This window comes from Homo sapiens, chromosome 10, assembly GCF_000001405.40.
Source record: "Homo sapiens chromosome 10, GRCh38.p14 Primary Assembly".
Classification (NCBI taxonomy): Eukaryota; Metazoa; Chordata; class Mammalia; order Primates; family Hominidae; genus Homo; species Homo sapiens.
Window position 1 is genome coordinate 120,837,621 of NC_000010.11, and position 26,388 is coordinate 120,864,008.

The window sequence follows — 26,388 nt, forward strand, 5'->3', positions numbered from 1 at the left end:
CATGGCACCAATGTCTGCTTGGCTTTTGGTGAGAGCCTCAGGAACTTACAATCATGGCAGAAGGTGAAGGAGAGCAGTGTGTCACATGGCGAGAGGGGGAGTAAGAGAAGGGGAGTAAGAGACAAAAGGGAGGAGGTGGCAGGATTTTTAAACAACCAGCTCTCCCCTGAACTAATAGAAGGAGAACTCATGACCACCGGGAGAGCACCAAGCCATTCACAAAGGATCCACCCCCACGATCCAAACACTTCCCACCTGGCCTCTCCCCCAACACTGAGGATCACATTTCAACAAGAGATTTGGAGGGGACAAACACCCAAACCACATCAACACTCAAGGCTGTTTTAGAGAAGACTCTGATTTACAAGTTAATATTATCCTGAGTAGAAACACAAGTATGATACTCAGAGATCCAAAGAAACAGTGGTAAACTGGCATTTATTTTTAATTGCAACAATTGGAGGATTCTGAGAAAGACCAGCTAAAATTATGAAATCCTTAAACTTGTTAAAGCATCTCACAAACTATTTCCACCAAGGTTCAGCTTGTTAAGAATGATAAATCAATAGAATTATTTTTTCCTCCAGAAATCATGATCACACACCAGACACAACCTTGTTAGTTTAATGTAATGTATGAAATGCTCTTCCATGAGCACAATGTTCAGACATTGTTTATTTGGACTAACAAAACTCTGATGAAGAAATCAAATAAGAAAGTCCTGTAGCTCATTTTTTCTTTAAAAACAGCCAATCACTGGAAAAACACACATTGACAGAATCTATGTAGTCCCAGGAATGAGACATGCTGGGATCCACTCATGGCTGAGGGAGCAGGGCTCAGGCCTCATACAGAGAGCAGGCCAGAGGTTTAGCAAAATGACCTGGAGTTCAGGGCTGGGCTCTGTCCTCATGACCACAGTAAAAGCACTGACTGAGCGCCTGCCCCCTGCCTCTGTTACATATGTGACCTCATTTAATCATCACAACAACTTTCCCAGGTGGGTTACTATTAGCTCCATTGTTCAGGTGAGGAAATTGAAGCTCAGCAAGGCAAGGTTGCTTTTCTAAGAGCACACAGCAAGTGATGGACCCCCTGGGTCTGGCACCCAAATCACCTAGCGCCTCACCTGGTGTTTCTCCCTCTACATTATATTAACTACAATGTAACAATTAGTGACTTAATCTTGGTACCTTACCTATATGACTTCATTTAATGATTATGAAGTACCATTATGTATTATTTTTATCCTCTAAACTTTCCTAAAGTTACAGAGCTAGGAGGTGGCAGAGATAGGGTAGGACTCCTGTCTGTCTATCTGCCTAAAACTGCAAAGCCCTCACTGTTTCCAGCAATACCCAGCTGCCTCTCCTTGTACCAAGGGTGTTAGAAGAGCATATCCCCAACACAGCCTGCTCAGGATAAATGCATTTTATCATGACTGCTCTTCTCAGAAACATGCTACAGTCTAAAAAACCTTAATCACCATGTCATAAAGTGCAGTGACTAATCCATTGTACTGTGATTATCACCCATAATATGTAGAGACATAAAAAGAGATTAATAATGAAGGTAGTCAAATAATACATAGGACTGATGATTATCCACAACAAAGTAAGGAGTGAGTGGAACGTGTTTAAGGAGAAAAGTCGATGCCGGATCTGAGCTGTCAGTTTAGTGCTCTCCCTACTCAGCCAGTCACCCACTCTGCTGGTGACTTTGTCTTCCATGTTACTGGGTGATGTTTCTTTAAAATGTCTTGCTGTGCAAAGTATGCACTCCTGGTCCCTATTCAACCCCCATGAGAACGTCACAAACACTCCTAAATCTCACATGAAGCAGCTTTATATCCTGGACAGAGCCCTGGCTTGGAAGTGAGAAAACCTGGCCAAGGTTCGTTTCTGTCCTCAGCTAGCTATGTGATCGTGAGCAAGTCACTTAATCTTTCTAAGGCTGAGTTCCTTCATTTACAAAATGGGGTTGGTGATACCCAAAATAAGGCTGACAAAATAAGGTTCGCTGGAAATTCAAATGCTTTGGGTTAAATAATACAGGATTAGCTGATTTAAAGTACCAATGTTATAAGGAAAATAATCTAACAAATGCAGTAAAGGTCTTGGCACATTTTGATGCTAGAGTTGGTGGGAGTTGGAACAGCCAAGCACTAGGAAAGAGTTCTGAGTCGAGACCAGGACTGGAAAGGGAGGCTCGGTGCAGGTCAAACCAGGAGGAAACTGGAGGCAACATCATACTGAAAGGTACACAAGTTGTAGCCCCCCTCCTTTAAAACTTAACTCCTGCAGTCACCAGAGGCAAGCCCTGAGCAGCATCTGCCTAAGTAAGCGTCTGTGACTTGCAGAGTGGTCGTCCTGGCCCACAGCTCTTGGAGAGCACTGGGTGGGGCACGCCTGGCAGCTCAAACAGCTGAGTCTTTCACTGAGTGTGAAGACAGCCTGATCCTTTAAAAAGAGTGGAGTTAACCCCTCCTCTAGGTCAATCTCAGCAGTAATTTTCCAAATGCTGCATGATGCATTCATGTTATGACCCCCTAAAGCTCTTGTTTTAGTTCTAGAGCTAGTCTAAGACTATTTACCACTGGTTTTTTGAATCTCTGTGTGTCATACTTGCATTTTCACTTAGAGTAAGACCAACCTGTAAATCAAAGTCTGCCCTCGGGCGCGGTGGCTCACATCTGTAATCCCAGCACTTTGGGAGGCCAAGGCGGGCGGATCACGAGGTCAGGAGATGGAGACCATCCTAACTAACACGGTGAAACCCAGTCTCTACTAAAAATACAAAAAATTAGCCGGGCGTGGTGGTGGGCACCTGTAGTCCCAGCTACTCGGGAGGCTGAGGCAGGAGAATGGCGCGAACCCGGGAGGTGGAGCTTGCAGTGAGCAGAGTTCACGCCACCACACTCCAGCCTGGGCGACAGAGCGAGACTCCATCTCAGAAAAACAACAACAACAACAAAAAAAAACAAAGTCTGCCCTAAAACAGCCTTGAGTGTGGACCGACTGAATTGAGAGGCCTGGGTACCAGCAACAGCCAAAGCAGGGGTTCATAGAGCCCTCACCTATCCTGAAAGTGCCTCAGGACAATCTCATCCTACTCTTTGGAAACATAAAGAATAATACAGCAACTTTTTTTAAAAAGAGAAAACTGGCTGCAGTTGTGGTGTCCTGGTGACTCATGCAGCAAATTCAACTCCATCTTTACCCAAATCCTTATTATTTCTTCTCCTGCAAGCCACTCCTTAAAGAGAAAATATAAATATCGCTCTTCAGATTCAAGATGGTATAGCTTAGATGGGTTAGTGTTGTTATTGAAAATAGGAGGCCTCAGCCGGGCAGAGTGGCTCACACCTGTAATTCTAGCACTTTGAGAGGCCGAGGCGGGCTGATCACTTGAGGCCAGGAGATTGAGACTGGCCTGGCCAACATGGTGAAACCTGTCTCTACCAAAAATACGAAAAAATAGGCTTCGTGGCTCATGCCTGTAATCCCAGCTACTCAGGAGGCTGAGACACGAGAATCACTTGAACCCAGGAGGCAGAGGTTGTAGTGAGCCAAGACCATGCCAATGCACTCCAGCCTGGGTGACAGAGTGAGACCCTGTCTCAAAAAAGAAAGAAAGAAAATAGGAGGCTAGATTCATGCTCCAGCACTGTCAGCAAATAATAAGGTACTATAGGAAGCTAGGTGCTGTTTTGAGCTCTTTTAATATGTTATCTAATTTAGTGTTTTTCATCATCCAGGAATAGTTACTCTCCTCCCCACAAATAACAGAAGGAGAAAAGGAGGCTTAATGAGGTCAAGTAATCTGCCCAAAGTCCCAACAAACACCCTCCTGTTACTAATGCTAACCTTCCATGACTCTCCAGCGCTAGAATAAAATCCAGTGTGAGGGGTTAAGAAGTGAAACAGGCTTAGCTCACATAGAAAGTCCTTAGCTCATCTCCTAGCACATGGTTAAATGCTCAACAAATGATATCTGGCATTAGCAATAGAAGGGCATTTGAAAGCCTTTAAAGAAACACACAGAATGCATGGATTTTATGGACTTGTGCACAGAGAAGCCCGTGGTGCTAGAAGATACCATGTAGGACTGTCACCAGTGTGCCTCAAGTTGCTCATTATCTTGCCATTTCACATAAAATAAAACAGAAATGCAAATAAAAGCTACACAAATAATGAAACATATATAAAAGAAAATTTTCCCTTTGACTCATCCAATTTTTCCTGGGAGTAATGCACCTTGTGCTTAGATACACAATTCTCATTGTCAGAGTTGTTTTCCCTTTGCTTTCCACAATCAGACCACAATCAGACCACATCCAGGCCAGTGCTTGGTTTTGGAAATAAGACCTTGACCACAGCCCTTTGCCTCACTGGGAATGTGTTGCTCAGCTAAGTGGCTCAAAGTCCATGCTGCCACCTACAGAATGTGAGAACATTTTGGCAAATTATATATCTGACAAGAGACTCAAACAGGCACTATGGCTCCTGCCTGTAATCCCAGCTACTCAGGATGCTGAGGCAGAAGGATCCTTTGAGCCCAGGAGTGTGAGGCTACAGTGAGCTATGATCACACCACTGCACTCCAGCCTGGGTGACAGTGAGACCTTGTCTTAAAAAAAAAAAAAAAGAAAGAAAAAGAAAAAAAGAGACTGTTTCTAGAATATATGAAGAACTCTTATAACTCAATAGTGAAAAGACAGATACCTCAATATAAAAATAAGCAAAGGATCTGAATATTTATTCAAAGAAGATATAAATGGCCAATAAGCACTTGAAAAGATGCTCAGCATCATTAGCCATCAGAAGAATGCATATCAAAACTACAACGAGAACTACTTCACACCCACCAGGATGGCTATTATAAAGAAGACAGATAATAATGAGTGTTGGCCAGGATTTGGAGAGATTGGAATACTTACACACTGCTAACAGAAATGCAATACGGTGCAGTCTCTGGAAAACAGTCTGGCAGTTTCCTCAAAAAGTTAAATATAGAGTTTTTATATGAGCCAGCAATTGTACTACTAGGTATATACCCAAGAGAATTGAAAACATATATTCACACAAAAAATATGTACAGGAATGTCCATAGCAACACATTTGAAATAGCTAGAAAGCAGAAACAAACCAAATGCCTATCAGCTGATGACTGAATAAATAAAAGATGGTATATCCATATAATGAAATATTACTCAGCAGTGAAAAGGAATAAAGTACTGATAGATGATACAACATGGACAAATTTTGAAAATGTTATGGTAAGCGGAAGAAGCCAGGCATAAAATACTACATGCTTTATGGTTCCCTTCATATGAACTGTCCAGAACAGGCAAATGTATATGGACAGAAAGTAGATGAGCAGTTGCTAGAGTTGAGGGATGGCAAGTAGGGGAAATGGTGAGCAACTGCTAATGGGTACAGGGTTTCTTTTAGAAGTGATAAAATGTCCTGAAATTGATTATGGTGATGGTTGCTAAACTCTGTGAATATACCAAAACACAGCAAATTATACATATTAGATGGATGAATTGTATGGTATGTGAATTATGTCTTAGTGAAGCTGTTGTTTTTTTTTAAATCTCACGCTTCCCAGGCAGCTGGAGTTTCTTCTAACTGGGCTGTGGAGTACATGACATGGAAGGCAATGTGGTTAAAGGCATGCGTTTCAGAATCAGACTCCCCTGGGTTCCAACGCTGGCTCTGCCTTTTATTGTCTGTATAAACTTGGGCAACTCTGTGAACTTGTGAAAATATTTGTCATAATATAGTCTTTGTGACTTTGTGCAGATGAAATGAGATGATGCAGGTAAAAGGTTTATCACAGTATTCAACTTGCAAGTGCTTAAAAGGAAGCTACTGACTTCATCACCTACGTGAACTTGGAAAGTTTACTTATGAAGTAAGTCATTTATTCTGTTACATATTATTTCTGTCTTCTTCCATTTCTTGTGTTTCCACCACCAAATCAAAATAGGAATCAGAAGTTCGCATGCATTTATCTCTACTGACTTCAAAAGAAGAGGGTAAAAAAGTTGTCCTAGTTTAGGGATGCAAATGATTTAGCAGTGGCAGGATGCCCTGAGTGCGCATTACCAGGCTTTGGAGTTTATGTCATCAGGCATGGGGCGAAATGGTAGCTTTTGAGGCATAAAAGAGGAGCATAAGTTCTGTCCTATTAAAGAGATCAATTGTCCAGTGTGTCCAATATTCTGTCTTCCACTCTGGCCAAGACAGATGCTTCAGAGAAGGACATAAAATCCATTAACATACTTAATTACACACTCTTGTATTATGGGAGATACATTACTGTCCCAAACCCAGCCTGTCCTTGCCTAAATATCCAACATCCATTATCTTCAAGGTAGCTTACAGATTTAAACTAATTAATCTCTTTTTCTCCAAGAGGCTTTTTCTTACCAGGGGGATGAGAGGGCTGGTTACCTGCTGCCTGCCCCCATCTGTGAGCTACTGCGCTGATGCCTGATTGTCACCTTGTGCCTGTTTGACCTTATGCTCAGTGGGCATTTGGAACTCCTGCACCATCAATCATTTGTTGAAGACCAACTGTATGCCAGGAAAGGTGCCAGACATTGGGGCAAAAGGAAGACTAGGATTTTGTTCCTTTATGAGAGGAACTCTAAGTCTACTATGGTATATATAATTTTTCCTATATTATGATTACTTAAAAATGTGTTGGCCTCCCCTTTGAGACAGATATATCTGAAGATAATAATAATGTAAGGTGTAACTATTGAAATTGCTCAGAACAGCAAAGTGACTTCTCAGAGGTCACTATGCAACACTTCCATTTTCATTTATTGGCCAGAAATTTAGTCTCATGGCTGGGTCTAGTTGTAAAGGGAGTTGGGGGAATGTACTCATTTAATGGAGGGACAAGGTGCCTAGATATAAACTCAAGTTCTATCCCTAAGAAAAAAAGGAGAGAATGAATTTGGGGAGTCAATTAGCAATCTTCTCATGGGAGGCATCAAAGATTTTTAATAAGAGAGTGATAAATTTAGATGTGTGGTTTTGGGCACATCTGGTGGCCCCCAAAGCATCAGTAGGTTAGGGTGTGGGGTAAGGAAAGGTAAGACAACAAGGGAAGGGGAGGGAAGCTGCAGCAAAACATGATCAACTAAAAGCCAAAACATGATCATTGGTTTGAACAACTAAGAGGATATGAGGTGACCTTTGAGAAAGCTGTTTTACAAGAATGGTAAGCTAGACACAAAAACCTGTGATGAAAAATCACCAATATGTTGTCCCTTTTGTTGATCAAGGAGCTAACTGTCAGGCCTCTGAGCCCAGGCCAGGCCATCGCATCCCCTGTGACTTGCACGTATACATCCAGATGGCCTAAAGTAACTGAAGATCCACAAAAGAAGTAAAAACAGCCTTAACTGATGACATTCCACCATTGTGATTTGTTCCTGCCCCACTCTAACTGATCAATGTACTTTGTAATCTCCCCCACCCTTAAGAAGGTACTTTGTAGTCTCCCCCACCCTTAAGAAGGTTCTTTGTAATTCTCCCCACCCTTGAGAATGTACTTTGTGAGATCCACCCCTACCCACCAGAGAACAACCCCCTTTGACTGTAATTTTCCATTACCTTCCCAAATCCTATAAAACGGCCCCACCCCTATCTCCCTTCGCTGACTCTCTTTTCGGACTTAGCCCACCTGCACCCATGTGAAATAAACAGCTTTATTGCTCACACAAAGCCTGTTTGGTGGTCTCTTCACACCGACGCACATGGAATTTGGTGCCATGACTCGGATCGGGGGACCTCCCTTGGGAGATCAATCCCGTCCTCCTGCTCTTTGCTCCGTGAGAAAGATCCACCTACAACCTCAGGTCCTCAGACCGACCAGCCCAAGAAACATCTCACCAATTTCAAATCCAGTAAGCAGCATCTTTTTACTCTCTTCTCCAACCTCCCTCACTATCCCTCAACCGCTTTCTCCTTTCAATCTTGGCGCTACACTTCAATCTCTCCCTTCTCTTAATTTCAATTCATTTTCTGATAGAGACAAAAGAGACACGTTTTATCCGTGGACCCAAAACTCCGGCGCCAGTCACAGACTGGGAAGGCAGCCTTCCCTTGGTGTTTAATCATTGCAGGGACGCCTCTCTGATTACATACCCACGTTTCAAGGGTGTCAGACAATGCAGGGACGCCTGCCTTGGTCCTTCACCCTTAGCGGCAAGTCCCGCTTTCCTGGGGCAGGGGCAAGTACCCCTCAACCCCTTCTCCTTCACCCTTAGCGGCAAGTCCCGCTTTCCTAGGGGGCAAGAACCCCCCAATTGCTTATTTCTGCACCCCAACCTCTTATCTCTGCGCCCCAATCCCTTATTTCCGCACCCTGACCTCTTATTTCTGTGCCCCAACCCCTTCTCTGCTTTTCTGGAGGGCAAGAACTCCCCACCCCTTCTCCGTGTCTCTACTCTTTTTTCTGGGCTTGCCTCCTTCACTATGGGTAAGCTTCCACCTTCCATTCCTCCTTCTTGTCCCTTAGCCTGTGTTCTCAAAAACTTAAAACCTCTTCAACTCACACCTGACCTAAAACCTAAATGCTTTATTTTCTTCTACAATGCCGCTTGACCCCAATACAAACTCGACAGTAGTTCCAAATAGCCGGAAAATGGCACTTTCAATTTTTCCATCCTACAAGATCTAAATAATTCTTGTCGTAAAATGGGCAAATGGTCTGAGGTGCCTGACGTCCAGGCATTCTTTTACACATCAGTCCCTTCCTAGTCTCTGTGCCCAGTGCAACTCGTCCCAAATCTTCCTTCTTTCCCTCCAGCCTGTCCCCTCAGTCCCAACCCCAAGCGTCGCTGAGTCTTTCTAATCCTCCTTTTCTACAGACCCATCTGACCTCTCCCCTCCTCGCCAGCCCAAGCTAGGTCCCAATTCTTCCTCAGCCTCCACTCCTCCACCCTGTAATCTTTTTATCGCCTCCCCTCCTCACACCTGGTCCGGCTTACAGTTTCATTCTGTGACTAGCCCTCCCCCACCTGCCCAGCAATTTATTCTTAAAAACGTGGCTGGAGCTAAAGGCATAGTCAAGGTTAATGCTCCTTTTTCTTTATCCCAAATCAGACAGCGTTTAGGCTTTTTCATCAAATATAAAAACCCAGCCCAGTTCATGGCTCGTTCAGCAGCAACCCTGAGACGCTTTACAGCCCTAGACCCTAAAAGGTCAAAAGGCCATCTTATTCTCAATATACATTTTATTACCCAATCTGCTCCCGACATTAAATAAAACTCCAAAAATTAAATTCCGGCCCTCAAACCCCACAACAGGATTTAATTAACCTCGGCTTCAAGGTGTACAATAATAGAAAAAAGTTGCAATTCCTTGCCTCCACTGTGAGACAAACCCCAGCCGCATCTCCAGCACACAGAACTTCCAAACGCCTGAACTGCAGTGGCCAGGCATTCCTCCAGAACCTCCTCCCCCAGGAGCTTGCTACAAGTGCCAGAAATCTGACCACCAGGCCAAGGAATGCCTGCAGCCCAGGATTCCTCCTAAGCCGTGTCCCATCTGTGCGGGACCCCACTGGAAATTGGACTGTTCAACTCACCTGGCAGCCACTCCCAGAGCCCCTGGAACTCTGGCCCAAGGCTCTCTGACTGACTCCTTCTCGGCTTAGCGGCTGAAGACTGATGCTGCCCGATCGCCTCGGAAGCCCCGTAGACCATCACGGACGCCGAGGTTTGGGTAACTCTCACAGTGGAAGGTAAGTCCGTCCCCTTCTTAATCAATATGGAGGCTACCCACTCCACATTACCTTCTATTCAAGGGCCTGTTTCCCTTGCCTCCATAACTGTTGGGGGTATTGACAGCCAGGCTTCTAAACCTCTTAAAACTCCCCAACTCTGGTGCCAACTTAGACAATACTCCTTTAAGCACTCCTTTTTAGTTATCCCCACCTGCCCAGTTCCCTTATTAGGCTGAGACACTTTAACTAAATTATCTGCTTCCCTGACTATTCCTGGACTACAGCTACATCTCATTGCCGCCCTTCTTCCCAATCCAAAGCCTCCTTTGCGTCCTCCTCTTATATCCCCCCACCTTAACCCACAAGTATAAGATACCTCTACTCCCTCCTTGGCGACCGATCATGCACCCCTTTCCATCTCATTAAAACCTAATCACCCTTACCCCGCTCAATGTCAAGATCCCATCGCACAGCACGCTTTAAAAGGATTAAAGCCTGTTATCACTCGCCTGCTACAGCATGGTCTTTCAAAGCCTATAAACTCTCCTTACCATTCCCCCATTTTACCTGTCCTAAAACCAGACAAGACTTACAGGTTAGTTCAGGATCTGCGCCTTATCAACCAAATTGTTTTGCCTATCCACCCCATGGTGCCAAACCCATATACTCTCCTATCCTCAATACCTCCCTCTACTACCCGTTATTCTGTTCTAGATCTCAAACATGCTTTCTTTACTATTCCTTTGCACCCGTCATCCCAGCCTCTCTTTGCTTTCACTTAGACTGACCCTGACACCCATTAGGCTCAGCAAATTACCTGGGCTGTACTGCCACAAGGCTTCACAGACAGCCCCCATTACTTCAGTCAAGCCCAAATTTCATCCTCATCTGTTACCTATCTCGGCATAATTCTCATAAAAACACACGTGCTTTCCCTGCTGATCGTGTCCGATTAATCTCCCAAACCTCAATCCCTTACAAAACAACAACTCCTTTCCTTCCTAGGCATGGTTAGTGCGGTCAGAATTCTTACACAACAGCCAGGACCGCACCCTGTAGCCTTTCTGTCCAAACAACTTGACCTTACTGTTTTAGCCTAGCCCTCATGTCTGCGTGCAGCGGCTGCCGCTGCTTTAATACTTTTAGAGGCCCTAAAAATCACAAACTATGCTCAACTCACTCTCTACATTTCTCATAACTTCCAAAATCTATTTTCTTCCTCATACCTGACACATATACTTTCTGCTCCCCGGCTCCTTCAGCTGTACTCACTCTTTAAGTCCCACAATTACCATTGTTCCTGGCCCGGACTTCAATCTGGCCTCCCACATTATTCCTGATACCGCACCTGACCCCCATGACTGTATCTCTCTGATCTACCTGATATTCACCCCATTTCCCCATATTTCCTTCTTTACTGTTCCTCACCCTGATCACGCTTGATTTATTGATGGCAGTTCCACCAGGCCTAATCGCCACATACCAGCAAAGGCAGGCTATGCTATAGTACAAGCCACTAGCCCGCCTCTCAGAACCTCTCATTTCCTTTCCATCGTGGAAATCTGTCCTCAAGGAAATAACTTCTCAGTGTTCCATCTGCTATTCTACTACTCCTCAAGGATTATTCAGGCCCCCTCCCTTCCCTACACATCAAGCTCGAGGATTTGCCCCCACCCAGGACTGGCAAATTAGCTTTACTCAACATGCCCGAGTCAGGAAACTAAAATACCTCTTAGTCCAAATAGACACTTCCACTGAATAAGTAAAGGCCTTTCCTACAGCGTCTGAGAAGGCCACCACAGTCATTTCTTTCCTTCTGTCAGACATAATTCCTCAGTTTAGCCTTCCACCTCTATACAGTCTGATAACAGACCAGCCTTTATTAGTCAAATCAGCCAAGCAGTTTTTCAGGCTCTTAGTAGGTGTCAGTGAAACCTTTATATCCCTTACAGGCCTCCGTCTTCAAGAAAAGTAGAACGGACTAAAGGTCTTTTAAAAAGACAGCTCACCAAGCTCAGCCACCAACTTAAAAAGGACTGGACAATACTTTTACCACTTTCGCTTCTCAGAATTCAGGCCTGTCCTCAGAATGCTACAAGGTACATCCCATTTAAGCTCCTGTATAGACGCTCCTTTTTATTAGGCCCCAGTCTCATTTGACACCAGACCAACTTAGACTGTGCCCCAAAAAACTTGTCATCCCTATCTTTTGTAGTCATACTCCTATTCACCATTCTCAACTACTCATACATGCCCTGCTCTTGTTTACACTGCCGGTTTACACTGTTTCTCCAAGCCATCACAGCTGATATCTCCTGGTGCTATCCCCAAACTGCCACTCTAAACTCTTGAAGTAAATAAATAATCTTTGCTGGCAGGACTATGCTGAATCTCCTTAGGCACTCTCTAATCAGATGTCCTATGTCCTCCCAATTCTTAGACCTTTTATACCTGTTTTTCTCCTTCTCTTATTCCATTTAGTTTCTCAATTCATCCAAAACCGTATCCAGGCCGTCACCAATCATTCTATACGACAAATGTTTCTTCTTACATCCCCACAATATCACCCCTTACCACAAGACCTCCCTTCAGCTTAATCTCTCCCACTGTAGGTTCCCACGCCACCCCTAATCCCACTTGAAGCAGCCCTGAGAAACATCACCCATTCTCTCTCCATACCACCCCCCAAAAATTTTCGCCGCCTCAACACTTCAACACTATTTTGTTTTGTCTTATTAATATAAGAAGGCAGGAATGTCACGCCTCTGAGCCCAGGCCAGGCCATCGCATCCCGTGACTTGCATGTATACATCCAGATGGCCTAAAGTAACTGAAGATCCACAAAAGAAGTACAAACAGCCTTAACTGATGACATTCAACCACTGTGATTTGTTCCTGCCCCACCCTAACTGATCAATGTACTTTGTAATCTCCCCCACCCTTAAGAAGGTTCTTTGTAATTCTCCCCACCCTTGAGAATGTACTTTGTGAGATCCACCCCTGCCCACCAGAGAACAACCCCCTTTGACTAATTTTCCATTACCTTCCCAAATCCTATAAAACAGCCCCACCCCTATCTCCCTTCGCTGACTCTTTTCGGACTTAGCCCACCTGCACCCATGTGAAATAAACAGCTTTATTGCTCACATAAAGCCTGTTTGGTGGTCTCTTCACACGGACGCGCATGAAACTAACAATGTATTGGGGAGAGAAACACACATCTGCAAATATCATTGCTGAAAAGAAATCATTGCATTAAGTGCTATAGTTAAAGCGTATAAACCCAACACTGAACACAAAGGAGGGAAGGACTGGGTCTGACCTGGAGAGCAGCAGAGGAGAAAGTGCGAAATGAAAGGTACCCAGCAACAGACAAAGGGTCACACTTGGCCCCAGACATAGTGCTTCTTCCTCAAGTGCGAAGGGAGTATTGCAAACACCAGATATGCAGTGTTATCTGTATTTGGAAATTGTTTATATTCAGGCCATTCACTTCATTCAGTCTGGCAATTTCATTCAATTAATCTCATTCATTTCTTAATTAATCTCATTCATTATTCTCTGTAAACTCCACGAGAGCGGAGACTTTGTGTCTTCTTCATCGGTAGATCCCCCATGCCTACTGGCACTAGTAGTTGCCCTAAATTCACTTATCAAAGGCAGCAAGAATAACTGGGACTCTTCTCTCTTGCTTTTCACGATTTCCAGCAGGGCACAAAGGCCTACAGTCCCCACCTGAAAAAAACAGACTTGACTGGAGGCAGCGCCTCTTCTTCCAAATACAGCCCCAGCTGACGCAGATTAGCACAACCGCCTAAGCGGCGGAACTCTGGAGAGTGCGGAACCTAGGATCCTAGGAAACTGAAGGCAACGGAACCTGGGGGCGATGGAATCCGGGAGCGGTGGAACCCGGAGCCTGTAGAACTTGAATCTAGAGGAACCTGACAGCGGCGCCGAGGGGGCCACCCGGACTCTGTTTGGAACGGAAGCACAGTGTCCGCCGCTTCCTGGTTGCGGGTCAGCGCCCAGGTCCTGGGCTGGCCGCCGGGATGTTGCCCTACACAGTGAACTTCAAGGTGTCGGCGCGCACCCTCACGGGGGCCCTCAACGCCCACAACAAGGCGGCGGTGGACTGGTGAGGACGCCGAGCTTCCAGGTCGCCAGGATCGGCCAGGAATGTGTGAGGGGGAAGGGGGAAGGACAAGAGGTTTCACCCCCTGGTTAGTTTGGCCTCGCTAAGGCAGGGAGCCGCCCTCACGCAATGAGCTTGCTTTCAGTTGGTGGATTTTTGTTGTTACAAAAGTGATAATAGCCCCGTGTGGGAAATTCCCCCATGCAAATACATTTCCCCTCTTTCTCGCGTATTTCTCTGCTGTTTTCTCTGCACCTCGCCCTTTTGCCGTTCCATTCCTCTCTCTTTTCCTCTCCTCCAGCTTCCAGGCTTCTCTCTCTCCACCATTAATTCCCTGTGCACTTTCTCTTTCCCATCCTGTCTTTTCTTTTTCGTTGTCTTGTATTCCTGTTGTCTTTCAACAATGTGCCAGACCCTGTGCTAGGCGCCTGTTCTTTCACCTGTCCTTTTCACCTCTTTTCGGGCTCCTCCTGTGTAGAACATTCCTGCCTTCAACAGGTCGTCTTTATTACTCTCTCCTTTCACTATAAATTACTACTGCAGCTCTGAAAACTACTCATTAGACAAATGTAAAGCAAAATTCTGTGGCTGTGGGATGTTGTTAGGAGGACTGAAACGTCTTGTGCAGTGTTTGTCGTTTTATTTAGTTGGAAGGACTAGGATTAGTCGCAGTATCCCCAGGCACATTGTGGATACTAAGGATTAGAAATCGGATAAGCGAAAGACGTATGCCTACAAGAACAGTCAGAGGGCACAAGTTCCTTTTTATGTCCTCGGGTCTCTATTTTCATATCTTTTAGAACTTTTTTTATCCGAATGAAAAGTGAATTTCAACAAGCATTTTAAGCTTAGCCAGATCTTTTATTTAAGTGGGATAATGATAAATACTGGCCTTTGGGTTTAAATGATTTTATTAATGGTGGTACATATGAATTAGACTTATCATTTATTTAGGCTTGGCAAGAAAGAAGTCGTCCTGCTTTGTTCTGTACTTAAACTTTAACATTACTGTTTTGCTAGGGGCTGGCAAGGTTTAATTGCTTATGGATGTCATTCACTTGTGGTAGTGATTGATTCCATTACTGCCCAAACTCTTCAAGTTTTAGAAAAGCATAAAGCTGATGTTGTAAAGGTAAGTAAAATCCCACTTTGACGCTAACATGTTGTCTAGTCTAAAGTTTAATACTGTGTATCACTAAGCTCTCATTAAGTCTTACGTGTAAGTGTTGAATAGCTTTTAAATATAACAACCTATTTGGGGTAGCCTAGAATTTTCATATATATGACTTAATGTCAATACAGGGTGAGTTATTAAATGCTAGTTGTTAGATCATTTTAAGGCAGATGAAAGTTCTACCATTTACAAGACCACTCAGTCATTCCTTAGTTTTGAGCACTTACCATATGCTATGGATATGGAGATGAAAGCCCTCAGATAATTCTCCATCTTATAAGGAAGACTCACAGCGTGATAGTGTGATAAGTGAGACTTGCGTAACACGCTGTGAGAAAACAGAGGAGCTGCATATTGCCTGGTTGTGAGGAGAGTCACAGAAGTCTACAGTTTCAAGACTAGTAGACAGTAGTTAGCCAAGTAAAAAATTGACAAGGAGCATTGCAGGGAAAAGCAAGAATATACACAGAAGTAAGTAGCGTGCCATAAAGATGGCTAAAGATGGGACACTTGTAGGAGTGATGAAATAAGAGGCAGCCAGAGAGATTCAGCTGTCTGTCCTGAAGTTTTGTAAGATTACGAAGGAGTTTGGATTTTTTTTTTTTTTAGACAGAATCTCACTCTGTCGCCCAGGCTGGAGTGCAGTGGCATGATCTCGGCTCACTGTAAGCTCCACATCCTGGGTTCACGCCATTCTCCTGCCTCAGCCTCCTGAGTAGCTGGGACTACAGGCACCCACCACCATGCCCAGCTAATTTTTTGTATTTTTAGTAGAGACCGGGTTTCACCATGTTAGCCAGGATGGTCTCGAGCTCCTGACCTCGTGATCCACCCGCCTTGGCCTCCCAAAGTGCTGGGATTACAGGTGTGAGTCACCGCGCCCAGCAGGAATTTGGATTTTTGAGTAGGAGATTGATGTGACCATATTCGCGTCTTAGAAAAACTCTGGCAGCAGTGGAGGATCTGCTGAAGAAATGCAAGACTGGAGGCAGTAAGATCATTTAGGAGATTTCTGCAGTAATTTTGGTGGGAAATTCTAAGGGCCTAAAATAAAGCTGGGGCATGGAGAAGTCATGTTTAAGAGCAGCAAAGAGGTAAACCTGATAGCCTTTATAGTGATCAGTATAAAGGAGAGTAAGAGAATAGAGTGACTCCAAGGTTTCTTTTGGTGTAATTGAATGACAGTGTTTCCAGTTATCAGAGGTAAGCATCTGTGAAGTCAGTGAATTTTTAAGTTTTCAACATGCAAAATCTGAGATGCCTGTAATATATTGCATTATAGTGATCCGGGCTTTAGGAGATAGGTCAGGATTAGAGATAGAGATTTGGAGTCTTTTTCTTTTTTAAATAATAGCTTTATTGAGATACTCATACCATAAAATGTACTGACTTAAAATGCACAATTCTGTGGCTTTTAGTATATCCACAGTTAATGCAGCCACAATTACAATGAACTTTTTTACCTCAAAAAGAAACCCTATATCCACTAGCAGTCATATTCCATTTCCCCCATTTCCCTCATCCTTTGGCAACCACTGACCTACTTTCTGTGTCTGTAGACTGGCCCATTCTGGGGATTTTATATAAATTGAATCATATAATTTGTGGTCTTTTGTGCATGACTTCTTTCACTTAGGATAATGTTTTCATGGTTCATCTGCGTTGTAGCATATATCAATACTCTGTTACTGATGAATAATATTCCACTGTAAGGATGTATCACATTTATTTTATTGATGGACATTTGGATATTTTGTACTTTTTGCCTGTTACGAATAATGCTGCTTTGCACATTCATGTGCAAGTTTTGTGTGAACCTGTGTTTTCATTTCCCTTGAGTATGTTTCTAGGGGTGGAATTACTGACTCATATGGTAACTCTGTTTAACTTTTTGAGGAACTGCTGGACTGTTTTCCAAATTAACATTCTCATTAGTAGTGTATGAGGAGTCTAATTTGTCCAAATCCTCACCAACGCTTGCTGTTCTCTGTTCTTTTGATTATAACCATCCTAATGGGTATGAATTGATTCTCATTGTGGCTTTGGTTTGCATTTCCCTGATGGCTAAAGGTGTGGAGTATCTTTTCATGTGCTTATTGGCCATTTGTATATCTTCTTTGGAGAAATGTCTATGCAGGTCCTTTGCCCATTTTAAAATTGTATTATTTATCTTTTTATAATTGAGTCGTAAGATTTCTTTGTATACAGTAGTCCTCCCTTATCCAGAAGGGAAATGTTCCAAGACCCCAGTGGAAGCCTGAAACCCTGGATAGTACTGAACCCTATATATATTGTGCTTTTTCTCATACATACTTACTTATGATAAAGTTTATAAACCAAACCCTGTATATACTGTTTTGTCTCATACATACTTACCTATGATCAAGTTTATAAATTAGGCATAATAAGAGATTAACAACAATAACTAATAATAATAAAGGAGAACAATTATAACAATACATCAGCATTACTACTCTTGCACTTTGGGGGCATTATAAAGTAAAATAAGGGTTACTTGAACATAGCACTGAGATATCACAACAGTTGATCTGATAATCAGTATGGCTACTGAGGGCAGGTGGTGTATACAGCATGGATGTTCTGGACAAAGGGATGATTTATGATTAAGGCAGGATGGAACAGGACAGTGGGAGATTTCATCATGCTATTCAGAAAAGCGCATAATTTATGAATTGTTTATTTTTAGACTTTTTTGTGTCATATGTTTGGATTGATACATGATTTGCAAATATTTTCTCTCAATTTGTGGGTTGTCTTTTTACTTTCTTGGTGGTGTCTTTTGAAGAACAAAACTTTTTCATTTTGATGTAGTCCAATTTATTATTTTGTATTGTTGTTGCTTGTACTTTTTGTGCCATATCCAAGAAACCATTGCTTTCTCCAATATCAAGAAGATATATACCTTTGTTTTTTTCTTAGAATTTTAGAGCTTTAGCTTTTAATCCATTTTGAGTTAATTTTTATATATGATGTGAAATAGGGAAAAATACTATTAATTTTTGTTTATTGATCATATCCTGTAATCTAGCTAACTTCACTTAGTAGATCTATTTAATAGTAATTTTGGGTAAATTTTTTTTAAGTAGACAGTCATGTCACTGCAAGTGACTGCAGTTTAATGTTTTCATTGATAATCTGTGTGTCTTCTATTTTTCTTGCCATGTTGCATTGGCTAGGACCTCTACTACAATGAATGGGAGAGTAGTGAGAGGATACTCTTGTCCTGTTCCTGAGCTTAGGGGGAAAGTATTCAGTCTTTCATCAAGTCTGATGTAAGGTATAGGGTGTTTTGGGAAAAATATATTTACCTTCTCTTTCCCTCTCTGTTTCCTTTCCCCTACACTGCCCCTTGGCATTTCTGGAGCTTTTATTTCTTTATGTAGGTCCAAGTTTCAGTCTGGTATTATATTCCCATCGACTGAAGAATTTACTGTAAGTTCTTAAAGTGCCTGTCTAATATTGGTTGATTCTCTTAGCTTTTATTTCTCTGAGAAAGTATTTCACCTTTGTTTTCGAAAGATAATTTTCAAAGGATATAGAATTCTGGGTTTATAATTTTTTTTTCTAGTAGTACTTTACAAATATCATTCCATTGGCCAGGCATGGTGGCTCACACCTGTAATCCCAACACTCTGGGAGGCCGAGGTGGATGGATCACCTGGGGTCAGGAGTTTGAGACTAGCCTGGCCAACAAGGCAAAACCTCATCTCTACTAAAAATACAAAAATTAGCCAGGCGTGGTGGTACACACCTGTAATCCCAGCTACTTGGGAGGCTGAGGCAGGAGAACAGCTTAAACCTGGGAGGTGGAGGTTGCAGTGAGCTGAGATAGTGCCACTGCACTCCAGCCTCGGCAACAGAATAAGACTCTGTCTCCAAAAAAAAAAAAAAAAAAAAATCCCTCCACTATCTTCAAGCTTACATAGTTTCTGATGAAAAATTTTTGTTTTTGTTTCTCTGCATTATATCTTTTTTCCTCCGATTATCTTCAAGATTTCCTTAACCTTGGTTTTCAATAGTTTGATTATTAAAATATATATATATATGGCTTGGAGTTTACCTAAATGGAATTCAACATATACATATACAAATATATACACATATACAAACATATATATACACATAGAGACAGTCAATTCTTGTTATTTGTGGTAGCTATATTCTGTAAAGTTGTTGTATACACTGAATTAGTGAATACTGAAACTTTGTTTGCTCCTAGGGGTTAGGTTCTTGTGAGGCTCTGGTCACAACATTTTCATCAACTGATCAATAGATAACCTTGCTTTATATGTGTTTCCGTTTAAAGACATATTAATATGTCAGTTGATCTATTAACATTGAACTCATAGCCAACAACACATGCCTGAGCAAAGATTATCACATATATATATATGTATGTATTTTTTGCAAGACACATCACAACTTCTCATACTTAGAAACGGTAGGCAGTATGCTTGGGGACCTATTTAAACAGTGAAGTCACCAGCAAAAGGAACAAAAATGTGAAAAATGTGGTACTAAATAAATCATGAGATGAACACTTGTTTTGCCATTGGAAAAGCTAAAGCAAGAATTCTTGTTTGACTTCAGCTGGGAACACACATGTATGTTCGGTGACATTTTTTTCACCATTCTGCACTTGTCCACAAAAGCACTGCAAGTATTGATTTTGAGGTTGCAAATTATAGTGAGTAGGTAAATTGACAAATACAGAATCTATAAATAACTAGAATGGACTGTGTACACATATATACACTATACATATTCTATTCATACACATTCTATACCTATGAACTTAAACATATACACATACAAATATGCATACACACATACATATGCATATATACACATACCTCATTTAAAAATTTTTGCCTGAGCAAAAGATCTATTACAGGAAAACCTTAAGGCCTGTTCACGCTCATTTTCAGAAAACGTTGTTTCCATCTTTTTCATGAATACTACTGCAATTGGTTGGCTTACTTTCCTACCTTAGCATTATATATGAGTGTATTTATATCTGTACACATATATAGGTATATACATTTATATGTATTTATAGATTTGTGGTATTTAAATCTACTTATTAAACAGACCTTGGACACTGTACTAAGTCTGAGAATAGAAATGCAAACAAAGACCACATGGTGTGCCCTATGGAACTTACAGTTGATGGACTCATGAATAGGCAAAAAGAATGTAAATAAAATAAGTACAAATTGTGTAGTAGTAAATGCTTTGAAGAAAATAAGCAGGATACTGAGAAGAGAGGGGTGGTAGTGACCAGGGAAGGCCTGACTCCTAGTGAGGACTATGAAATTTTTCCCTTATTCTGTCAGTATTCATTGTTCAAGAATTTAATCAGATTTGCCCTGGAGTTCATGTGTTTTTTATTTTAAAAATTCTATTGTTAATCATGTTGCTATAGGCATGAAGCATTTTTTTTTTTTTAGAGAAAAACTTAATGTTTTGTGAAAGAGAGAGACAGCTAGAGTTTTTTGTTTGACTTTGCCTTCTCCTGACTTTCCCTCTGCAAGGTTTTTGTGTTTCTAAGTTGTCTTCTTTTAGTTAGGAGACTAGAATACAGAAAAACATTCTGCTAAATATGATTTTAGGTATTTTGTCATAAATTAGATCTTAGGAAAACTGATTTTCAAGGCATCCTGGGGTTTTAACCTAAATTTCCCAAAATATTAAGGCTGTGAATCATTTTTCATCACAGGATCTTTGTGATGTGTCAAAGAAAACAATTTTGTAACTGCAGTTAAAGATATCTACCAAAGTAACACAAATGCTGCCTTCAAAATGAAAACCAGTTTTCTGTTTATTCTTGCTAAATGTTTATGTAATATAAATGTAGTATGGGTTCTGGTTGATGTTTTGTGAAAATTATGTTCTGTTTCATCCAGCGCAAGTATTTACTTGATCTGATTTCTTCTTGATACAGGTTAAATGGGCCAGGGAAAACTATCACCATAACATTGGCTCACCATATTGCTTACGGTTAGCTTCTGCTGATGTCAATGGGAAGATCATCGTCTGGGATGTAGCAGCAGGAGTAGCTCAGTGTGAGATCCAAGAGCATGCCAAGCCTATCCAGGGTGAGGAAAGTCTGCTCAGCTAAGTGTGTATATTGATACACTTACTCTTGGAGTGGTTTTTTGGTTTTGGGGGTTTTCCCCCATTCATTTAATTTTATCAATTCCAAGTTAGCTCTTGATTGTGTTTTGCCTATTCTGCTGATCTAAATCTGGCTTTCTGTCCTTACTAATACACTTCTAGGCATATTTCTTCAAATCTCAACTGATTTGTGCTTTGGTAAAACTCATTAATTGCAATATCAGCCTCATTCAAGCATGATAAGAAAAAGTAAGTGGTACAATCTTGTAATCTAAGCTACAATATAAGGAAAATTGGCCACTGCTGTTAGGAACTAGCCATCAGTGCTTACTCTACATTAAGTAATTTGTTCATTATCAGAGATGAACAAAATTTTATTCTCATTTTCATATAGATTGCTTGTTTGTTCGTTTCATGTTACTGACCTAAAACCAGTACGGTATTCTTTTTTTTTTTCTTTTTTTTTTTTTGAGATGGAGTGTCGCTCTGTTGCCCAGGCTGGAGTACAGTGGCGCTATCTCGGCTCACTGCAAACTCTGCCTCCTGGGTTCACGCCATTCTCCTGCCTCAGCCTCCCGAGTAGCTGGGACCACAGGCACACACCACCACACCCAGCTAATTTTTTGTATTTTTAGTAGAGACGGGGTTTTACCATGTTAGCCAGGATGGTCTCGATCTCCTGACTTCGTGATCCACCTGCCTCGTCCTCCCAAAGTGCTGGGATTACAGGCGTGAACCACTGCGCCCTGCCCAGTACAGTATTCTTTAGACTTAAGTCCTCCAGTGGCTCTCTTGACTGAATGAATTTTTTAAATGACTATTTAAAAAATATTTATTAAATACTTACTGTGTACTAGGTACTGAACTAGATCTTTGCATATTCTGTTTATTTTTTGAAAAACCATGAAGAACTGTAAAGTTCCATTAAGTAATTCCACAGAAACATTAGGAAAGTCTGACATCTTGGTTGTGGCTAAGAGAGTTTCATATTGATTTTATAGTTTTAAGTAATGATTAGGGCAAATTGCCTTTTATTTTCTTTGAAGTAATATTTCAGATTACTTCAAAATTTTTACCTTGAGAGTTTAACCAGACAACTTATTTTTATATAGAATTAGTTTTTTCTCTGGAATATTGATACACACACACACACACACACACACGTCACATTTGGGGCTGGTGGTTAAGTTTTTAAAGATTATATTTTAAAAACTAAATATCAAGGACAAGTTAGCCAAGGACTTTGGAGAGTGTGGTTTCTGAATTTTGCCTTTCTTTATCGGGTCTTTCCAGATGTTCAGTGGTTGTGGAATCAAGATGCTTCCCGCGATTTACTGCTTGCTATCCACCCGCCAAATTACATTGTGCTCTGGAATGCCGACACTGGCACCAAACTATGGAAGAAGAGCTATGCAGATAACATTCTTTCTTTTTCTTTTGACCCTTTTGATCCCTCACATTTAACTTGTGAGTAACAGTTGCTTGTGGAAAATGAGTTAAGTGAGATATTTATAATATAGTAATGCTATGTGCATGAGATATACACACACATTATACATCTATAATGTTAAAATGACTGAGCGAAGTGGAGAAGCATGTCTAGTCCATATATCTGCAGCTCCTAATACACATACTCAATCATAAGTTCATATCATTGCAAATATGATAAAAAATTAAATCAGCAAGCTACACCTTCACTGTGTTGAATTTGTGAATAGTATTAGACTAGCCAGGGACAGAGAGTTACTTTGACACTCCAGACTTAATTAGTTCTTCTAAGAACATTTAAATAACTTGAATCAAGGGTTTCATTCAGTCTGTGGCCAAGTTAAGTTCTTGCTTTTTAATAAATTGTCCTAATTCACGCCATTCATTTTGAGTGCCATAAACAGATGCATGTAAAGAAGAAATAAGCCTAAGCAAGTTTTTTCTTGCAGAGATAGTTTTTGCTAATATGCTTTTAATGTTTTCCTGAGCTAATGATCTAAAAATGAGATGTGCTTTAGGTATTTTTGTGGCTAAATTGTTTAGAAACTATTTAATCATCCAACAGATATTTCTTGAGCTATTGCTACTCTTCTGGGAACCAAGATGTCTCAGAACCCAAAAGGCAGGAGCCTTCACAGAGTTTGCATTCTAGTGAGAAGAAGTCATATCATAAACTGTGACCACAATGAATTAATAAATTCTAGTGTAGTAAGAGGTGACAGGTGATATAAAGGCAGGATAAAGGGGATGCAGAAGAATGGGGGATGAGGGCATGCAAGTTGTATGAGATAAAGTGGTCAAAGTAGGCTTCACTTTGATAATGATCAGAAATGTGAAGGAGGTAAGGGAATTAGCTATGGTAAGGAATGTTTTTCCTGGATTTGAATGACTCAAAATTGTTTTACCCATCAACTTTTATTGAGGGGTGTGTGTGTGTCTGCACGTGTTAAAGGAGGAAGAGAAAGGCAGACAAAATTGAAATTATAATAACATGGGAAATGTGGCTGTGTAAATACACTACAGGGTGCTTAGGCTTTTATGTATGTAAATGTTTGTATATGGACGTGTGCATACATACACTCACTTGGTCACCAGTTTACTTACTCACATAGGTGCAGTGCTGGGGAAACACCTAGGAGGGCTGGCCCAGTTGGCAGAGTCAGGGAAGGAGGGCATCACAAAAGAAGGAAGCAAAGGGGACCTTGAAGGATGAGTTCTGGAACCTGAAAAGGCAACAAGGCTTTCAGCTAACTTGATTGCATCAGCTCTTTACATCTCTGTAATTTGGTTGATGAAAGCATTGTGTGTTCCAGAGTGTCAGTTGACCTAACATCTTTGATTTACTCATATTGAATGTGCTAGGGTTGTCATAACTCTTGAATGCATCCTTTTTCCCTGTGTTTAGAGCAGCCTTGCTAAGGGCTGGGACCCAGGGTAGTAAGGTTTTTCTGCTCATGTCTTCCAGTATTAGGCCCATTGTTGAGGGAGATTATTTTTTCAGTCATAAAAAGGCATAATTTGTATTGCTAAATATGGTGCTCCCTCCTTGACTATTTTTGTTTCATGTACACTTAGTAAGTCACTGTGGGCCCACTACTGTTTTCTAAATATTAAGGGAAAAGAATATTCCTTAATCATCTTAAGGTTCGATCTGATGCTTGAGAAGAAAAAGGGAATATATTTAGACTGAGTAGCTCAGGATAAAAATTTGGTATCATCAAATAAAATATATGAACTTAGCTAATTGTGATATGCAGAGCCTCTTAAGTATGGTTTTTTGTTTTTTTAAGTTATGGGATATGTTAAAGTTTTTTTGTTTGTTTGTTTTTTGTTTTTGTTTTTGTTTTTTTTTTTTGAGATGGAATCTTGCTCTGTCACCCGGGTTGGAGTGCAGTGGCACTATCTCGGCTCACTGCAACCTCCACCTCCCAGTTCAAGCGATTCTCCTGCCTCACTCTCCTGAGTTGCTGGGATTACAGGTGTGTGCCACCACGCCTGGCTAATTTTTGTATTTTTGGTAGAGACGGGGTTTCACCATGTTGATCAGGCTGGTCTCGAACTCCTGACTTCATGATCTGCCTGCCTCTGCCTCCCAAAGTGCTGGGATAATAAGGAAAGATTTTTAATGAAAGTCCGTGCCCTGAATTTATTTAGAAGAACAAACACTTGTTCTTTCTGCCAATAACCTTATGTTATCTTTTTAATATAAGACATAATATAGAATGCCAAGCTTGGAGGCCTCTGATGAATTGTAATGGACCACCTGTTTCTCTTCAACTTAGAGAACATTCCCATTATGTTATGAATGCATAACATTGCCAGTTATATATTATTAAAATTATCACTATATTGCTCTCAAAATTGTATTGGAATAAAACTGTATGCTAAACTTCATTAAACTTTAATCAGAGTTTTGCTTTTCTCAATATAGTGCTTACCAGCGAGGGTATTGTTTTCATCTCAGACTTCTCCCCATCCAAGCCTCCCTCAGGCCCTGGGAAAAAAGTTTACATATCCAGCCCACACTCTAGCCCAGCTCATAACAAGCTGGCCACAGCCACAGGTGCCAAGAAAGCTCTAAATAAAGTAAAAATTTTAATCACTCAAGAGAAACCTAGGTAAGTTACAAGTGTAAAATTAACATTCATCTACTTATCTGGTATGAAAGCATCATTTTTGGAGATGTACAAAGACTGATGTTTTTCTTCATCTCACTTTTTCTCATTTCTAATTTTGAATTTATTAGAGGAAAAAAATATTTATTTTTGTCCCCTGCCCTAAGAGGAGATTCAGCATTTAACATTGCCTTTGTTTCCACTAGCTGTGCTAAACTTCCCCACTGACTTTTATAGATTAAAATTTTTGAATTCTGATTTTTACTTGTGAAAATCGCAATGATCCTAAAGTTCAGGCAATTGAATGCATTAAAAATTTGGGCACAAAAGCTGGATACTCATTTTAAATACATTTTCCTGACTTAGGTGCTGTGCATTCTCATTCAGCAGTAAAATCGGAGTGTTTTTCTTATGCAGGTGAAGATGTCTCCCATCCTGGTTAAGAGCCAAGGCTCCGGGGGAAGCTTTAGCTATGAGACTGAGAAACTTCTTTAATCTTACTCAAATTTCTCTCTCCCAGTCTCTAAAATAAGGCTTTAAAGTATTTCATAGGGTTGTTTTAAAGATCAATAGATCCAATAATGTAAGTAAAGCATGTAATGTCATTGATACATAGTAATTTATTTAGAAGATGTCGGCTGTTATTAAGAAATTACAACTGAATAAAAGTTTATTTTAAGTAATTTGATGTATTCAAAATAGGTTTCTTTCTTTTTCCTATAGCAATAATCTGTATATTATTGCTTTGGCAGGCTTTTTTGTTTGTTTTGGCATTCATTTTCAGATAGCCTTTATTTTTAATATGCCAAGATTACTCTCTCTAGGCTTGGTGAGTAACTACTTGAAAAATATGTGGTAAAAATATAAATTGCTCTACAAATACATTTTGCACTTGTGTGTAAGTATCACTTCTATATATTAAGCCATAGGCTGGTTAAGTTCACTAGTTAATTTATCTCTCACCCTGTGCCAAAATGACTTAAGATTACTTCTTAAGTATCTTAAGAGAACTTTCTATTTTTTATGTATTCCCTCTCATAAACAAGAAATTATTTGGCAGTCTGAATAGTTTTATAAGTTATGTTTTATA

The 26,388-nt window shown here is 41.0% G+C and overlaps 1 protein-coding gene and 1 long non-coding RNA gene across 7 annotated transcripts in view, besides 6 other annotated features; one reads left to right on the plus strand and one right to left on the minus strand.

Annotated features, from left to right (window-relative positions):
* The window catches only part of WDR11-DT (WDR11 divergent transcript), an 89,368-nt gene extending 75,809 nt beyond the window's left edge, over positions 1–13,559 (minus strand). Inside the window, exon 1 of the long non-coding RNA NR_033850.1 lies at positions 13,074–13,559. This is a non-coding gene — a long non-coding RNA (WDR11 divergent transcript). The remainder of the gene's footprint in view (positions 1–13,073) is intronic.
* Positions 13,384–13,928: an enhancer, noted in NCBI's record as "H3K27ac hESC enhancer chr10:122610516-122611060 (GRCh37/hg19 assembly coordinates)". NCBI's record gives its function as "activates a minimal SCP1, AML or CMV promoter by ChIP-STARR-seq in primed H9 embryonic stem cells {active_cell/tissue: H9 hESC(primed)}" and the evidence as "EXISTENCE:reporter gene assay evidence [ECO:0000049][PMID:30033119]".
* Positions 13,384–14,472: a biological region, named in NCBI's record as "H3K27ac hESC enhancers GRCh37_chr10:122610516-122611060 and GRCh37_chr10:122611061-122611604".
* Positions 13,407–13,526: an enhancer, noted in NCBI's record as "active region_4136". NCBI's record gives its function as "activates an Ori minimal core promoter by ATAC-STARR-seq in GM12878 lymphoblastoid cells {active_cell/tissue: GM12878}" and the evidence as "EXISTENCE:reporter gene assay evidence [ECO:0000049][PMID:35858748]".
* Positions 13,687–14,156: an enhancer, noted in NCBI's record as "active region_4137". NCBI's record gives its function as "activates an Ori minimal core promoter by ATAC-STARR-seq in GM12878 lymphoblastoid cells {active_cell/tissue: GM12878}" and the evidence as "EXISTENCE:reporter gene assay evidence [ECO:0000049][PMID:35858748]".
* The window catches only part of WDR11 (WD repeat domain 11), a 58,163-nt gene continuing 45,516 nt past the window's right edge, over positions 13,742–26,388 (plus strand). For 3 of the 6 annotated variants that reach the window (XR_428707.4, XR_007061973.1, NM_018117.12), the window contains exons 1-5: positions 13,742–13,886; positions 14,904–15,015; positions 21,023–21,176; positions 22,489–22,662; positions 25,115–25,301. Coding sequence is in view for 1 of the 6 variants with exons in the window: in NM_018117.12 (NP_060587.8) it covers positions 13,801–13,886; positions 14,904–15,015; positions 21,023–21,176; positions 22,489–22,662; positions 25,115–25,301 (713 nt within the window). In the remaining 5 variants the exon portion in view is untranslated. Of the gene's footprint in view, positions 13,908–14,144; positions 14,382–14,903; positions 15,016–18,131; positions 18,511–21,022; positions 21,177–22,488; positions 22,663–25,114; positions 25,302–26,388 lie in introns of those variants that run through there. The other 3 variants (XM_005269963.3, XM_047425458.1, XM_047425459.1) reach the window with 3 other exon arrangements.
* Positions 13,929–14,472: an enhancer, noted in NCBI's record as "H3K27ac hESC enhancer chr10:122611061-122611604 (GRCh37/hg19 assembly coordinates)". NCBI's record gives its function as "activates a minimal SCP1, AML or CMV promoter by ChIP-STARR-seq in primed H9 embryonic stem cells {active_cell/tissue: H9 hESC(primed)}" and the evidence as "EXISTENCE:reporter gene assay evidence [ECO:0000049][PMID:30033119]".
* Positions 14,167–14,226: an enhancer, noted in NCBI's record as "active region_4138". NCBI's record gives its function as "activates an Ori minimal core promoter by ATAC-STARR-seq in GM12878 lymphoblastoid cells {active_cell/tissue: GM12878}" and the evidence as "EXISTENCE:reporter gene assay evidence [ECO:0000049][PMID:35858748]".